Source organism: Homo sapiens, chromosome 1 (genome assembly GCF_000001405.40).
Source record: "Homo sapiens chromosome 1, GRCh38.p14 Primary Assembly".
Taxonomy (NCBI): Eukaryota; Metazoa; Chordata; class Mammalia; order Primates; family Hominidae; genus Homo; species Homo sapiens.
The window spans coordinates 245,253,063-245,270,161 of NC_000001.11; the positions used below are offsets into that span (position 1 = coordinate 245,253,063).

The 17,099-nt window shown below is 45.2% G+C and overlaps 1 protein-coding gene across 1 annotated transcript in view, besides 3 other annotated features; it reads left to right on the top strand.

Annotated features, from left to right (window-relative positions):
- Positions 1 to 17,099, top strand: part of KIF26B (kinesin family member 26B) — a 554,448-nt gene that overhangs the window by 98,078 nt on the left and 439,271 nt on the right. The gene's annotated exons all lie outside the window — the stretch shown is intronic.
- Positions 2,823 to 3,692: an enhancer, noted in NCBI's record as "OCT4-NANOG-H3K27ac hESC enhancer chr1:245419187-245420056 (GRCh37/hg19 assembly coordinates)". NCBI's record gives its function as "activates a minimal SCP1, AML or CMV promoter by ChIP-STARR-seq in primed H9 embryonic stem cells {active_cell/tissue: H9 hESC(primed)}" and the evidence as "EXISTENCE:reporter gene assay evidence [ECO:0000049][PMID:30033119]".
- Positions 3,693 to 4,560: an enhancer, noted in NCBI's record as "OCT4-NANOG-H3K27ac-H3K4me1 hESC enhancer chr1:245420057-245420924 (GRCh37/hg19 assembly coordinates)". NCBI's record gives its function as "activates a minimal SCP1, AML or CMV promoter by ChIP-STARR-seq in naive H9 embryonic stem cells {active_cell/tissue: H9 hESC(naive)}" and the evidence as "EXISTENCE:reporter gene assay evidence [ECO:0000049][PMID:30033119]".
- Positions 5,429 to 6,296: an enhancer, noted in NCBI's record as "H3K4me1 hESC enhancer chr1:245421793-245422660 (GRCh37/hg19 assembly coordinates)". NCBI's record gives its function as "activates a minimal SCP1, AML or CMV promoter by ChIP-STARR-seq in naive H9 embryonic stem cells {active_cell/tissue: H9 hESC(naive)}" and the evidence as "EXISTENCE:reporter gene assay evidence [ECO:0000049][PMID:30033119]".

Here is a 17,099-nt window from a genome sequence, read left to right on the forward strand (position 1 = left end):
GCAGTGACATGATCTCGGCTCACTGCAACTTCCACCTCCCAGGTTCAAGCAGTTCTCCTGTCTCAGCCTCCCGAGTAGCTGGGACTACAGGCGCCCACCACCAAGCCCAGCTAATTTTGTATTTTTAGTAGAGATGGGGTTTCACCATATTGGTCGGGCTGGTCTCAAACTCCTGACCTCAGGTGATCTGCCCGCCTTGGCCTCCCAAAGTGCTGGGATTACAGGTGTGAGCTACTGGGCCCTGCCTCTTAATATGTTAATGTAGGAGTTACATTAAGAGATTTTTTTAGTGTTAAATGATTTTTATATTATTTGCATCAAAGATGCTTTGGTCATTATTATTATTTTAAAATATATTGCTGGATTTGACTTGCTAACATTTCATTTGGAAGTTTCACATCTGTTTGCTAGTGAATGTGGCTTATAATTTTCTTTTCTTGCACTCCCTTCATTTAGTTTGGTTTCAGAGTGATACTAGCTTTAGGAAATAAGTTGGGGTATGTTTCCTCTTTTTCTACTCTCTGAAGAGTTTACGTAAGATTGGATTAATACAGTTTGGTAGGATTTGTCTCTAAAGGCATTTGGACATGGGGATTATTCATGTGTCAATTTTGAACTACTAACTTAATTTTTTAAAATGGTTATAGGACTTTTCAGTTTTTATATTTATTCTTAAATTATATATAGATTAAAAAATTTTGTTTTAAATTTTCCTGTCTATAGACTTTGAAGTCCTGCTTTTTTTTTTTTTTTTTTTTTTTTTTTGAAACAGAGTCTCGCTCTGCTGCGCAGGCTGGAGTGCAGTGGCGCGATCCCTGCTCACTGCCAGCTCCACCTCCCGGGTTCACGCCATTCTCCTGCCTCAGCCTCCCGAGTAGCTGGGACTACAGGCGCCCGCCACCACGCCCGGCTGATTTTTTTGTATTTTTAGTAGAGATGGGGTTTCACCGTGTTAGCCAGGATGGTCTCGATCTCCTGACCTCGTAATTTGCCCGCCTCGGCCTCCCAAAGTGCTGGGATTACAGGCGTGAGCCACTGCACCCAGCTGAAGTGCTGTTTTTTTTCTTTAACATTATGGGCATTTTCTAGATCATTCAATATTTACTGAGAAGATGACCTGTAACGCATTGACTTTAGCAGTAGTTTTTCTTTCTGATTAACTTTATTTCTAGAATTTTATTAGGTTGCATATGTCCCATGGATAGGGTGGCATAAGTGGCCGTGCTGGGCACATGGTAGACATATAGTAATTTCTGCTGGATATCGTACCCAGAACTACTCAGGCGTTGTAACTTTCCAGAGCAAAAAATTGGAATTTCCTCATGTTTTACAGGGGGAGGGTAAAGGCGATTCTATGAAAATTAACAAAGGGGGTTGGGGGAGGAGGGCTTTCCTTTTTGCTAAAGGAAAAATAACACATTCTTTTCGAATGATGACTTATTTTTGAAAGGCATCCTGGCTGAAATGATGAGCTCAGGTTTTGGGTCTGAGCAGTTCCTATTGAAAGATACTTGTGGAGATTTCCAAAAGTGCATATAAGAATGGCAGGTTCTTAGTTCTGGGGGAAGAGTGACTGGGGAGGAAATACGTCTTCCCCTTTTATTGATCTCAGTTACGTGCTATGACATCACATGTAATTTTTTGTGGAGCTGTTCTGATGCCCCACATGAGGCCCGTGTCCTTTGCTGCCAGTGCATTCCAAGAGGGCTGTACCCTGGGGGCTATGCAGGCAGCTATTCTTGTGTGGGCTTTTGCCATGCCTGTTTCAGGTTTGGAACTGTATACCTTTCAGGAGCATGGCTTATGACATAGCAATTCCATTTTCTTAACAAAAACGAACCCTATTTTTACTTTAAAAGTAAACATTCCCTCTGCTGTGGTTTGAATGTGTCCCTGAAAGTTCACATGTTGGAAACTTCATCCTCCGTAACAGTGTTAAGAGGTGAGACCTTTAAGAGGTGATTAGGTGGTGAGGACTCGCCCTCATGAATGGATTAATGTCATTATCTTGGGAATTATCTTGGGTTTCTGATAAAAAGATGAGGTTAGCCTCCTTCTCTTGCTCTCTCTTGTTCATGTGATGCCCTCCACCATGTTATGACCCAGCAAGAAGACCCTCACCAGATGTTGGCTTCTTGATCCTGGACTTCCTAGTTTCCAGAACTGCAAAGAAATGAGTTTTTGCTCTTTATAAATTACCCAGTCCAAGGTATTGTGTTATAGCAGCGCAACATGGGCCAACACACCCTCTATCCATCTCTCCACCGGCCAAAATCAACTAAGTGTCCAGCTTCATTACAGCCAGTGTCCTTTGGAGGAGAAGTCTCTGAACATTCCTGTTGAGATTCCTGATTGGAGCTGTGTGAAACCCATTTAGATTGAAATCAGAAACATGGTCAGGTTGTGAGTTTTCCTTTTGGAGAGCCCTCCCTTATTTTCACATGCTCATTCTCAAAAGCACTTTGTACATCATGTGATTTGTATGTTTTTTGCTTGGTACGATTACACAGCCCTTTACAACCCACTGCCCACACATGAGCTGACCCAGTGGCTTCGTGCTGTAAAGGCAGATCCAGAAGGCAGTGCTGCCAGGCTCTCTTACAAAAATCAGTTTGTCTTCTTTTGAGATATTCCTGTTCTGAGAGTTAAAACAAACTCTTGAAGGCAGCAGTATATTATAGATGCAAAATCTCACATAAAAACCATTTAAGAAAATCTGGGGACATGGAAATTGTTTTTTTCCCTTTAACAAGATGGTACCACTAATGTATTCTTATTTTTTTGCCCAGAGAGTAGCAATTTCTAAATTGTTAGACATGGTTCTTCTTTGGTTTCACATAACCCATTCCTTCATGGTACTTAAAGTTAGTAAATGGTTGAAATACTTCCTTGAGAAGTAGAAATGAGGAAGCATGAAGAGATTAAATGAGTCACTTAAAGCCACTGTAAGGAAGTTTTCCTTCCTTTTTATTGGTTTCTGCCTTTGGTGTTCTGCTGCTTACCCTCCCTCCTTCCTACCTGCCTTGTGCTGGAAAGGGCCGGGATTTGGGTATGCCCTTCTCAGCTGTGTGACTTCGAACAAGCTATTTGACGTCTCAAGGTCTTACATTTCTCATCTGTAAAATCTAAGATCCTTCTCTTCAAATGGCTCCCAGGTCACCCCTGCTGCAGACCAGGAATATGGCTAACATTTTGGGATTTGACATCAAATCCTGAGTTGACTTTACGTAACCTGGGTCCATGACATGTACTAGCTGCAAACAAGAAGCTGATGTGCACATTGTCTCAGGACACCTGGAAGCAAAATGTTGAATGTTAGATTTAGAAGGGACCTTCATCTTCCCTGAGTCCAACAGCCCCATCGTCCGGATGAGGAAGCTGAGGCCAAGGTTAGCCCTTGAGGGCTGCAGTGCTGAGGTCCTGTGTCCTTGCCCCTGGCCAGTGCTGCTCAGCCTTCCCCACTTTTAGGAGAGTTGGTTGACTTTTTGTAAGACCCAGGTGGGTATAAACCAACAATAACATTCTGAGCTCCCCAACCAACTGAATGGACCTCTCCTCTCCGCGAAGGGCATTCTAAAGTCAGCCTGAAATGCTAATCCAGGCGGTGATGGGAATGGGCTGTGGGACGTGCCTCCATTACAGCCTCCTCCCCTTGGAATTCAGGCACAGCTGACCAGCATTCACATTAAAATAGAGACTTCAGACTGACAAAGCGGACTCTTTGTAGCAATGAGATACCAACTTGACAGATAGCCGGCCCCAAAAGAAATAAAAGTATTTTGCCTCAAAATATATTTCTTTGATGTATTTTGAAATGTCCCTGCAAAGCTGTCTCTTGTGGGGAAAATCTACATTCTGTGGAGAATCTCCTTCCCTTCCCAGGTCTTTTTCCTGATCCAGTAGAGAATTAACTAAGAATCTGGCACTTTTTGAAGTCTGATAAGAAACATTTACCATCTATTCTCTCCAAAGCCTGCTACCTGGAGGCTTCATCTGCATAATAAGAACCTTGGTTTCCATAACCCCTTATCTTAACCCAGACACTCCCTTCTATTGATTCCAGGTCTTTAGATAAACTCAACCAATTGCCAATCAGAAAGTGTTTGAATCCACCTGTGACCAGGAACCCCCTCAGCAATCCTCTGAGTTGTCCTGCCTTTCAGGACCAAAGCAATGTACATCTTACATGTATTGATTGACCTCTTGTGTTTCCCTACAATGTATACAACCAAGCTATAGCCCGACCACTTGGGCACGCATTCTCAGGATCTCCTGGGGCTGTGTCACAGGCCACGGTCACTCATATTTGGCTCAGAATAAGTCTCTTCAAACATTTTACAGAGTTTGACTCCTTTTGTTTACATGGGATTGACAGATGATATCCCCTGCCTCGAGGGAATACGTGTGTGGGCATCTGAAATGTCATCTCAGCTCACCTCTCAATGAGTGGGAAGAGACTGGAACACTTTTCTCCATGGTCCTTGAATTTTTGTCGTTAAACGAGTTACTCTTCAGGGCCCGTCGTGTGAAAAGCTTTGCTGCACATCAGCCTGGAGGAAGGCTGGACAGGAGAAATAGCTTCCCACCAAAGCCCTCCCGTGTCTAGAAGCATCACAGTGGCCCTTGCTTAGGTGGCAGAGGACAGGGGTAGATATTTGTGATCAAGAAAGTTGGTCAGGCCGGGTGCAGTGGCTCATACCCGTAATCCCAGCACTTTGGGAGGCCAACGTGGACGAATCACTTGAGGCCAGGAGATCAAGACCAGCTTGGCCAACATGGTGAAACCCCATCTTTACTAAAAATACAAAAAGTAGCTGGGCATGGTGGCACATGCCTGTAATCCCAGCTACTCGGGAGGCTGAGGCTGGAGAATTGCTTGAACCGGGAAGGCGGAGGTTGCAGTGAGCTGAGATCATGCCACTGCACTCCAGCCTGGTGACAGAGTGAGACTCTGTCTTAAAAAAAAAAAATGTTGCTCAGAAGCTTCTCGATCTTGTCACATTCTCCGGTGGTGAGTTGAGAGCAGCCCAGGCCTGGGGTCCTAGGGAGCTTGACGTGGCTACTGTTCTAGACAGTGCTGAGTTTGTCATCACCTTGCTTTCATTATGATTTCCTCCTCCTCGTCACCACCTACGGTGTTTATGGAGTTCGCTGTACATGAAGCCCCAGCGTCCAGAGGTGTAAGACAGAGCCCCTTCTAGGAGCTGCTGTCCATCCCACTGAAAGGCAGGTCTGACACAGAAGAGACAAACAACCATACTGGGCCTCTGGGGCCCCGTGAGATGTGAACTTCAGGTACCAGAGTGCATGCGGGAGGAGGCCTGGGTGCCCTGGGGACCCAAAGCAGGAGCTCATTTCTGACCTGCCTCTCTCACCAAGCTTCCTTTGCTGAATGCCGTGGGCAAACAGTGGTGTTGGTATTGGAGCAGGATCAAAGCTCATTCCTGGCTAACCTGCAAAAATGAGCAGGTAAACAAATGGGATCCATAAAATAGAGACTAAAATGAAAGTTTGTCTTACTGTGATTAGCAACTGGCCCCTTTCCAAATTCCACCTGCTCTGCGTGGAGCTGTGGCGTCTCATTCCAAGAGCCTTCTCACAGCATCTGACCCGGGCCTGGGGTAACAGTACACTGGGGTTTGCCAAGGATAACCATAGCAAGGCAGCTACAGGAGCACAGCATGGTGGGGGGGCATGAAATCAGAACAAGCAGGACCCACGGGCGGGGGTGAGAGCAAGTGGCTGGGAGGCAGAGGCAGAAGTGATGGCTGCTGACTCACCGTGTGTCTGCCAGGTTGCTTAACCCATCTCCGCTCCGGTTTTCCCATGCGTGAGCCCTCTGCAGTGTGTGGCATGCTGATCGGCCTCTGGCATGAAGAGTAAAAGCAAGGCCACATAAAAATCACAGGTGCCCCTCGCTTCGTGCAACATGTGTGCCAGTCCAGTTTCTGCAACAGCCCCCCAGGCGCTGAGCCTGCTCCATGGGTTGGGAGATGTTAGACCTCAAGCTGTGCCCCTAGCTGGGTGGGTATGGGAAGTTACATGGCAGTGCTGGCTGCATTCTGCTTATCACTGAAAGAAGTGGCTTTGGAATGGGTGATTTCTTAAGGTGTTTCCCCACTCAGTTCTTCTGTTCATTTTTGTACATTATTATCTCTTCATTGTTGTACATTTGTTGGAGCTTAGCCCCAACAGTGCCTGCCTAGGTGGTGCGGACTGAGGAATAGAGATGGAGTAATCATGATATCCAATGTCTTATCTCACTGGCCTCCCCGCCCCACCACATCCCTTCCCATTGGACGGTGAGGACTGAGGCTCCATCGCTGAAATGCACACGTGTTACCAGGCAGGGTTGTGAGGGCCAGTTCAATGAACATAAATACCCTTGTCAGATCAGTTGTCATGATTCTAGAGAATAAGGCCGGAGGAAGTGAGCATGCTGATACTAAAGAACAGGGGAGAGAATACTGGGTTTGGTTGTGCCTGGTCACTAAAAGCAAACTTCACCCACTGAGAACCTGCTAGTCAACCTCCTATGATGTTCAGAAGCCTCTTGAATGTTGATAATTAATGGACAGGGTGAGCTTGGCCAGGCAGGCTGGCTCATGCCTGCAGTCCCAGCACTTTGGGAGGTCAAGGTGGGCAGATCGCTTGAGCTCAGGAGTTCAAGACCAGGCTGGGCCACATGGCAAAATGCTGTCTCTGGAAAAAATACAAAAAAAATTAGCCAGATATGGTGGCATGCACCTGTAGTCCCAGCTCCTTGGGAGGGTGAGGCAGCAGGATTGCTTAGGCCCAGGAGGTCAAGGCTGCAGTGAGACAAGATTGCACTGCTGCACCCCAGCATGAGTGACAGAGCGAGGTCCTGTCTCAAAAAAAAAAAAAAAAAAAAAAAGGTGAGCTTTTCTCTACTGAGTTTCTTGAAGTGTGGCACAACTGAGGCATAGCATAGTGGGACAGGATGCTGTTCATTTATCTGAGAGGTGAAAGGATGTACCTCCTGCTGCTTTTTTGGTGGGATGGGGTCGGAGGAGAGCCTGATGAGCCAGGCAAGGAGAGGAGGTAACAGAACACTGGTGGAGTTGATGGTGAGAAGCTGGACTCTCTCAGTGGGCTGTTTGCCTGCCCCTCCCTTCATTTCCCATAGGCTTCGGTAGAAGCGTGGCCTGCAGAATCAGGAAACAGTGCTGGTTAATCTGTAAGTATGCAACATTCTTGGGCCTTTCTGTCACTGAAGAGCATAATGTAATTCAGGCCAGTGCAGTACTGAGATATGGAGTGTGGCCAGCACCCATGGCAGGTGCTTGGAGGTTTATCCTAGTCTTTCTGCTAACTTCCTGGCCCAAGTGCAGGTCACTTACCTTTTCTGGGATTCAGGTACCTGTAAGAAGAGAAGTGAGTGTGTTGGACTCCCTCTAGGGAACTGGAAGGAATAAGCAATAAGTATACTTTGACATTTTATAAATAGAACATGTTTAATACATGCATTTCAACGAGGCCTATAGGATTAACAACTTTGGAGGCATGTGTACCGGTTTGCGGTCAGTGCTCACACCACCTGGTGGAATTTCCTTCCTTTGACTGGCAGGAAGAGGGAAGTACTTCTCACACATCTGTTACCTTCTGCCAAGTGTAAATGTCATGCTGGCATCTGTGTCTTAATTGTATTGGCATTCCCTTGTACTGGGCCTGGATGGGGTGGGTGCTCAACCCACACAGACAGAACCAAGCTCCCGACTGCAGACACACATCATTAAGTTTCTGGACTTCAGCCACAGTATCTTTGTTATTAGATTATTAACTCAATAGCCTTCTTGTCTTTTAGCCTAGGACTCTGGACATAGCTCTCTGTAGATGCTTATTGATGACTGATTGGCTAACAGATGCAATCACAGAGTCACAGATGTCAACTCTTGCCTGTCCTTCCTTCCTTTCCTTCCCTTCCTTCCCTCCTTCCTTCCTCTCTGTCTTTCTTTCTTTTCTTTCTCTCTCTCTCTCTCCTTCCTTCCTTCCCTCCCTCTCTCCCTGCTTCCTTCCTTCCTTCCTTCCTCCGTTCCTTCCTTCCTTCCTCTTTCTCTCTTTCTTTCTTTCTTTTCTTTTTTGATGGAGTTTCACTCTTGTTGCCCAGGCTGGAGTGCAATGGTGCAATCTCGGCTCACCGCAACCTCCGTCTCTCAGGTTCAAGCAGTTCTCCTGCCTCAGCCTCCCGAGTAGCTGGGATTACAGGCCTGGCTAATTTTGTATTTTTAGTAGAGACAGGGTTTCTCCATGTTGGTCAGGCTGGTCTCGAACTCCCGACCTCAGGTGATCCGCCCACCTTGGCCTCCCAAAGTGCTGGGATTAGAGGCATGAGCCACCGCGCCCAGCTTGTTCGCGCTCGCTTGCTTGCTTGCTTTTTCTTTCTTTCTCTCTCTCTCTCTCTCTCTCTCTCTCTCTCTCTCCCTCCCTCCCTCCCTCCCTCTCTCTCCCTCTCTCCCCCTCTCTCCCTCCCTCCGTCTGTCCCTCTCTTTCTCTCGTTCTCTCTTTTCTTTCTTTCTCTCAAGACAGGGTCTAGCTGTGTTGCCCAGGCTGGAATGCAATGGCGTGATCATAGCTTACTGCAGCCTCTGCCTCCTGGGCTCAAGTGATCCTCCCACCTCAGCCTCTCTATAGCTAGGACTACAGGCATGCGCCACCATGCCTGGCTAGTTTTTGTATTTTTTGTAGCGACAGGGTTTTGCCATGTGCCCAGGCTGGCCTCAGATTCCTGGGCTCAAGCAATCTACCCACCTTGGCCTCTCAAAGTACTGGGGTTATAGACGTGCGCCACCATGCCCGGCTCAACCCTTGTATTTCTTGATGGTTTTCACATGCAGAAGCCCAAAATCTGGGAGATACCGATGGCCCCTGGATCCAACACTAGAGTTATTTCTCTCCACAGCAGTTTGCCTCATGCTCCTTTGGTCACTGATAAGTGTTGTTAACATTTTTCAAATATCCTGTCTGCACTGAGGTGTGACGAGCACATTATTACCTCTGATTCCCATGCTGACACACAGATCGGGCATGTCTTTGTGTTTGTCTTTGGAGAGCCTTATTTTTCTCATGTGATATATACACCGAAATACACAGGAATCATTATTGTACAGAACATAGGAGACAGCCACTATGAAAGCAACTGTCCGGCTGATGGAAGAAAAGTTCAGGGGCTTCTCATTTTGATTACCTGTGATTTTGCTTTGCATACAATTTTATTTCCTTGGTGAGAGCTGCTTCTTCCTTGCTGACTTTTAAGAGACATTGGAAGACATGGGGCGGGTCTTCTGAACATCTACCTGTGCGTCACTTTTTAATTTCTTTTCCAGGTAGAGTCTGCAGTGAGGGAATGAGTTCTTTTTTTGTTTATTTGTTTGTTTTTTATTTTTTTTTGAGATGGAGTTTCGCTATTGTTGCTCTGGCTGGAGTGCAATGGCGCGATCTTGGCTCACTGCAACCCACACCTTCTGGGGTTCAAGCGATTCTCCTGCCTCAGGCTCCCGAATAGCTGGGATTACAGGCATGCACCTCCACGCCTGGCTAACTTTTGTATTTTCAGGAGGGACGTGGTTTCTCCATGTTGGCCAGGCTGGTCTCAAACTCCCGACTTCAAGTGATCCTCCCACCTCGGCCTCCCAAAGTGCTGGGATTACAGGCGTGAGCCACTGCGCCTGGCCAGGAATGAGTTCTTAATGAGAGACTCTTGAGTCTTTCTCTGGAAGTAGAATGGAATTTTTAGAAGGATGAAAGACAGATGTTCATTTCACAGAGCAGGCTGCTCTATTCACATGCAGCCTCAACACCAGTGACATTCCAACCAGTGTTTAGGGTTTAGTTAGGGAGAGAACTTCATCCCCATTAGTTCATATGTGTGTATGTTAAAGCACTTAGAACCATACCTGGCACATAAGAAAAATTCTGTAAGTATTCATTGTTCTTGTTATTACCATCATCCTTGTAATTCAGTGATTCATGGCGGGGTGCAGTCAAGGAGTGTCATGACAAGCGAACTTCAGAAGACTGCATCAGACTTACAGGTCACTGCTTTTGTAGCCCCAGTACGGTAGGAGAAACATCCACTGGGAGGTGGGTCCCTCGTTAGCCCTGAAGAGTGGATTGCTGATGCCTTCTGCTTCACCCTCTGCTTGTGCTCCTTCTTCCAAGCTGTTAATTTCTCTGAAATCTTGTGTTTCTTTACGCAGGGGTTCACATCCTGATTGCTTGTTCCACTCGGAAGGGAAGGCAGAGGGCTTGCATCTGAAGCCATGCCTCCTTCATCAGTGCTGTATCGAGCTCTAGGTTTGGGTTCTTGGCACTTCGGTGCTTCCCTTCTCACTCAGTAGTCATAATGTTAGCACGGTTGATGCATTGACACGCTCTAGTGAGCAGTTTGCAGGCATCTATCATGAACTGTTCAAAGAGATACGCAGATACATCTCACAAACACTGATGGAATACTTAGTATGTGCTAGGAGGGCACTAGGGAGAGAAAGATGAAAGGCAGCGCCTGCTGTTGATTTCATTTGCATCTTGCCCTCAGGACTCAGGTTAATTGGTCTAGGAGCTTATAGACTATTAGGCTTCCTAGACCCCTTGGGAGACATGGGACTTGCCAGACCCATTTCCCCAAAAAAGGTAAGCACTGTGGAGGATTCTTCTCCTAGAGTCTAGCATCCATCATTTCACCAGTGTGGCTGATTCCAAAAAATGCATTTTGACAAGAAGAGAAACACAGTTAGTTAACAGACGTCAGAATGTGAAATAACTTTGGCTGATTGGAGGAGTTAACCGGTTCTTTTGTCATCTTGTGGTCCGTTCTGTGTGTGTCTGCTTAGCTTTCTCACGCTGAGCCTTTTCCCTCAGGATCTTCAGCAGTTTTTTCCAGTATGTAGATGATTCAACTCACAGATGGCAGCTTCTAAGTTATTATGCCACTGATTAAAGAATTGTTAAGGCAGACTTATTTCTCTAAATACAAACACATGCAAAACTGAGATTTTGACCAAAACTTTGCTAGACACAATAGTGTATTGTTTCTCTCTTCAAAGTGTGTTCCATGATAGACTTGTGTTTTATAAAACAGCAGTGCTTGGCATGTATATTACGAGGTCTATCACCAAAGAATTCTAAGCTCTTTTTAAAAAGACATTTTTAAGGTAAATGACCATTTAAAAAAGATACTCCGTCTCTTCTATTTTTTTCCTTTCTTATATCTTCAGCAACATCCTAAATGTGACAATGTACGTAAAACACTACTGCATAGAGTGAATGTTCACTAATGCTGATGACTGTCTTTATTGGTATCTCTAATAGTTGGATTTGTGGTTAAACATATATGCTTCTTGCCCCAAATGACTACATCTTTGTTTTCTGTTCGGGCAAACAGAGAACTGGAGTTCACTGTGATCTCTTCACTGTTAACACTATTTAAGTGTTATTCAAAGAAAATGGAAACTTTTGGTCTCAGTGTCATGCCAACTTGTTCTAGATTATTGTTCTTAAAAAAAAAACAAAACAAAAAAAAACAGAGCCCCAGGCTGGATGCCGTGGCTCACGCCTGTAATCCCAGCACTTTGGGAGGCTGAGACAGGCAGATCACAAGGTCAGGAGATCGAGACCGTCCTGGCTAACAAGGTGAAACCCCGTTTCTACTAAAAATACAAAAAATAGCCAGGTGTGGTGGCGGGCTCCTGTAGTCCCAGCTACTCTAGAGGCTGACGTAGGAGAATGGTGTGAACCCAGGAGGCAGAGTTTGCAGAGAGCCGAGATCGAGCGACTGCACTCCAGCCTGGGGGACAGAGCGAGACTCCGTCTCAAAAAAAACAAAAAAAAAGAGCCCTGGCCAGGCACGGTGGCTCACGCCTGTAATCCCAGCACTTTGGGAGGCCGAGGCGGGCAGATCACAAGGTCAGGAGATCGAGACCATCCTGGCTAACACGGTGAAACCCCGTCTCTACTAAAAATACAAAAAAAAATTAGCCAGGCGTGGTGGCTGGCGCCTGTAGTCCCAGGTACTCGGGAGGCTGAGGCAGGAGAATGGTGTGAACCCGGGAGGCGGAGCTGGCAGTGAGTGGAGATCTTGCCACTGCATTCCAGTCTGGGTGACACAGTGAGACTCCATCTCAAAAAAAAAAAAAAAAAAAAAAGTTGAGAAATACGGAGAGACTTATTATGAAGCAATAAATAGTTATGACACGATGTTATTAACACTGGGAGAAACAAATAGACCGATGGAACAAAATAGATAGCTAGAAATAGACTTCTACGTAAGGAAACTTGGTTATGCAGATAAACATTGTGGACAAGTGGGAGAAGGAAGGATTATTCAATAAATAGTGCTGAGACAACTTAAAAATCATATTTTCAAGAGGTTGCAATGAAGGTCCTCACATATCCTATATACAAAAAATTAGTTTGAAGTAGACCAAATACATCAATGTGAAAAGCAAATTCTAAACAGTTTAGGGAAGAATATAGGAAGATATTTTCATGAGTGGTGTAGAGAATGACTTTTTTTTTTTTTTTTTAAAGACAGGGTCTCACTCTGTCACCCAGGCTGGAGTGTAGTGGCGTGATCAGCGCTCACTGCAGCCGTGACCTCCCAGGCTCAAATCGTCCTCCCAAGTGATCCTCCCACCTCAGCTAGGACTGAGACTAGCTGGGGCTGCAGGCACACACCACCACACCTGGCTGATTTCTTTTGTATTTTATACAGAGATGGGGTTTTGCCATGTTGCTCAAGCTGGTTTCGAACTCCTGAGCTCAAGCCGTCTGCCTGCCTTAGTCTCCCAAAGTGCTAGGATTACAGGCATGAGCCACCCTGCCCGACCCAAGAATGACTTTTTAAAGCATAAGCAAAAAGCATAAACCATGAATTAATGATTGCTAAATTTGACTGTATTAAACAAAGAATATCAGTTTATCAAAAGACACCATAAAGTAAAAGAGATCCACAAACTTAGAGAAGTTATTTGCAATATATATAACTGAAAAAGGATTTGTATTTAGAGTATGTAAAGAACTATTAAATAAGAAAAAGATACTCAAAAGAAAATGGGCAAAGGACTTGAACAGGGATTTTAGAGAAAATAGGAATAGTTAATAAACCTATGAAAAGGTACCTAATCATCAGAATTTAGGAACCCCAAATTAAAGCCATAATGATATACCATTTGATACCAACCAGACTGGTGAAAATATGAGTCTGATAATATTAAGTGCTGACAAGGGATATTGGTCAGTGGAAATTCTCATACACAGCTGGCAGGACTGTAATTTGGCACAACTTTTGAAAGCAATTTATTCTTACCTCTATTACCACACAGTTCTGCCATTCCACTCCCAGGAACAGACCCTGGTGGAAAGAGAATAAGCTTTGGAGTCAGTCCAGGATTTGAATCCATCTTTTACCATTTTCTTTTCTTTCTTTCTTTCTTTCTTTTTTTTTTTGAGATGGAGTCTCATTCTGTCACCCACGCGGAGTGCAGTGGCGCAATCTTGGCTCACTGCAACCTCCGCTTCCCGGGTTCAAGCAATTCCCTGCTTCAGCCTCCCGATTAGCTGGGACTACAGGCGCCTACCACCACGCCCGGCTAATTTTTGTATTTTTAGTAGGGACGGGGTTTCACCATCTTGGTCAGCCTGGTCTTGAACTCCTGACCTTGTGATCCACCTGCCTTGGCCTCCCAAAGTGCTGGGATTACAGATGTGAGCCACTGTGCCTGGCCTGTTTTACCATTTTCTAATTGTGTGCCCCTGAGCCTATGACTTTCTCAGTTCCCTTATCTGTACAGTGAGAGAATGTTGTGTTTAGTAACTGAAAATTCATGGCATATAGTAAACCTCACTAAATGCAGACACTTTTATTAACATGTGACTGAAGGGCAGGCCCCCTGTGGGCCTGGTCTTATCCTTATCCTTTTTAGTATATGCACTTCTTCTCCACAGTGCATATGCTAATACTAGGTATTCAAGAAAGCAAGGTTTGATTTGGATTTGCAGTGTCTCCCCTAAATGCTCAGCTCCTGCTATATGCATTTCATTCTGCACAAACCTCCTCGCCGCCTGCCACATCTAAGCTATGATACAAATATTCTTCACGTGTGAAATTCCTTGCTCACTGCTTTTACCTCACTGTGGCCATCTTCTCTACTAAGAAAGTCAGCTGTGGTATCAACACACAAGAATGTGTGCAGCTGGTAGTGTATACATTCAGAATAACAAAGGTTATTACACTGAAAGGATGTGTTTTTTCTTTATTACTGGGCATCTTAATTGCTTCTTGGATGTTACAAGCCCAGCATTGCGAAGTACACCGTAGAGCAGAGGACTAATCTGTGGATTGAGTTGAGGCACAACCCTGTGAGTGCCCTTTCTCAGTGCAGCAGTCTCAGAGGTAATTTTACTCTTTTCTGAAATCTCATTTCTTATTTTGGTGTGTGCAGAAAAGCTCAACTGGAGTTACCTGCAAATGCAGGCATATGTGATAGCTCTGCTCAGCCACGTATTAAGCCACAAGCAGCCAAGAACAGATACTACTGGCGACAGCTAAGTAATGCACACACACACACACACACACACACACACACACACACACACACACACACAAAAGGAGAAAAGTGATAAAGAAGCAAGAATTCCAAGTGAGTTACAAACTCCAAGGACTTGGAACATATTCTGAGGAATTCTTAAATTGAGGCTTACGAGTGAGAATATATAATGTGTCTCCTTAAACGTTTTGGGGTGACAGATATTTCTGGGTTGTGGGTGATATTTTTAGGGAGCTTTAAAGAATGAATTCAGGAGACTTGCAGCCTGATGCTGGTTGTCTGGGTATTTTGGGACATTTCTTATAGCCCAGCTTTTTATTGCTCAACACAGATTTAGAAGCTTGTCCTAATCACCAGGAAGATCCTTAAAGACTGGCAATAAAGACAGGAATTTCAGGAGCCAGGCACAGTGCCTCATGCCTATAATCCTAGCACTTCGGGACATGGGGGTGGAAGGATCACGTGAACCCAGGAGGTTGAGGCTGCAGTGAGCCATGATTGCACCACTGCACTCTAGGCTGGGTGACACAGCAGGACCCCGTCTGTAAAGAAATAATAACAGGCCTGGCGCGGTGGCTCATGCCTGTAATCCCAGCACTTTGGGAAGCCGGGCCAGGTGGATCACAAGGTCAGGAGATCGAGACCATCCTGGCTAACACAGTGAAACCCCATCTCTACTAAAAAATACAAAAAAAATTAGCCAGGCATGGTGGCACACGCCTGTAGTCCCAGCTACTCAGGAGGCTGAGGCAGAATTACTTGAACCCAGGGGGCAGATGTTGCAGTGAGCCGAGATCACACCACTGGACTCCAGCCTGGGTGATGGAGCGAGACTCCATCTCCAAATAATAATAATAATAATAATAATAATAATAATAATAATAATAATAAAGTTTTTTTTTTAAAAATTGGGATTTTAGACCAATGTGAGGGAAGTTAGCAGCATGGCCCTGAGAAGCCATGTTTCCAGAGTGCACTGTTAGGACTGCTGAAACAGTTTAAGTACAGACATACAAGTCAGCACACAGGAAGCAGAGCCCGGGAGGATTAGACCTGACATTTGAACCAGTCCGAGCCCCTCTGTCTAGGTATCTCCTCCAATCCTCCAGTCATCCCTGGTTAAATATTTTGATTTCTTTTGTTAATACTGTATAATAATTCTAAATCTTTCTGAGCCAACATTAAGGTGACCAAACATCCTGGTTTGCATGGGACACAGGACTTTCAGTGCTAAAACTGGGACAGTTCTGAGCAAACTGGGATGCTTGGTCCTAGCGGACAACTGCTTTGTGTGTCTGGTACAGGTGAGCCACAGCTGTGTATACATGTGTAGTGGGTTGAATAGGGACCCACCAAAAAAGGTGTGTCCACCTAGAATCTCAGAATGTGATCTGATTTGGAATAAAGGTCTTTTTTATAACAATGACAACAACAAAATCTACCCTTTCAACTAATTTTAAAGTGTACAATACAATATTGTTAATTATATGGACACTGTTGTACAATAGATCTCTAGAAATTTTTCATCTTCCATAACCAAAATGCTGCTCCCACCGAACGGCTCCTCTCCCCCTCCTCCTCCCACCCAACGGCCCCTCTCCCCCTCCTCCTCCCACCGAACGGCCCCTCTCCCCCTCCTCCTCCCACCCAACGGCCCCTCTCCCCCTCCTCCCTGCTCTGTGGCTGCCACCATTCTACTTTCTGCTGCTTTGATTTTGACTACATTAGCTACCTCATCTAAATAGAATCACACAGTATTTGTATTCTGGGACTGGCTTATTTCACTTAGTATAATGGCCTCAAGGTTCATTCATATTGTAGTGACAGGATTTCCTTTTTTTGTTTTTTGTTTTTTTGAGACGGAGGTTAGCTCTGTCGCCCAGGCTGGAGTGCAGTGGTGTGATCTTGGCTCACTACAACCTCCACCTCCTGGGTTCAAGTGATTCTCCTGCTTCAGCCTCCCGAGTAGCTGGAATTATAGGCGCCTGCCACCACGCCAAGCTAATTTTTGTATTTTTAGTAGAGATGGGGTTTCACTGTGTTGGCCAGGCTGATCTCGAACTCCTGATCTAGTGATCCATCCACCTTGGCCTCCCAAAGTGCTGGGATTACAAGCGTGAGCCACCGCACCTGCCCCCACCCCCTGCCACCTTTTTTTTTAAAGGCTGAATAATATTCCGTTGTCTGTATAGACCACATTTTCTTTATCCACTCATCCATCAGTGGATGTTCAGGTTGTTCCCACTGTTTTGCTATCGTGAACAGTGATGCAGCGAACATGGGAATGCAAATATTTCTTTGAGATTCTGTTTTCAATTCTATTGAATAAATACCCAGAGGTGGGGTTGCTAGATCACATGGTAGTTCTGTTTTTAATTTTCTGAGGAAACTCCATTCTGTTTTGCATAGCAGCAGCATTATATATTCTCATCAACAGTGAACAAGGATTTCAGTTTCTCCACATCCTAATCAACACTTACTTTCTGCTGTTCTTTTTTCTTCTTCCTTCTTTCCTTCCCTTCCTTCTTCCTTTCT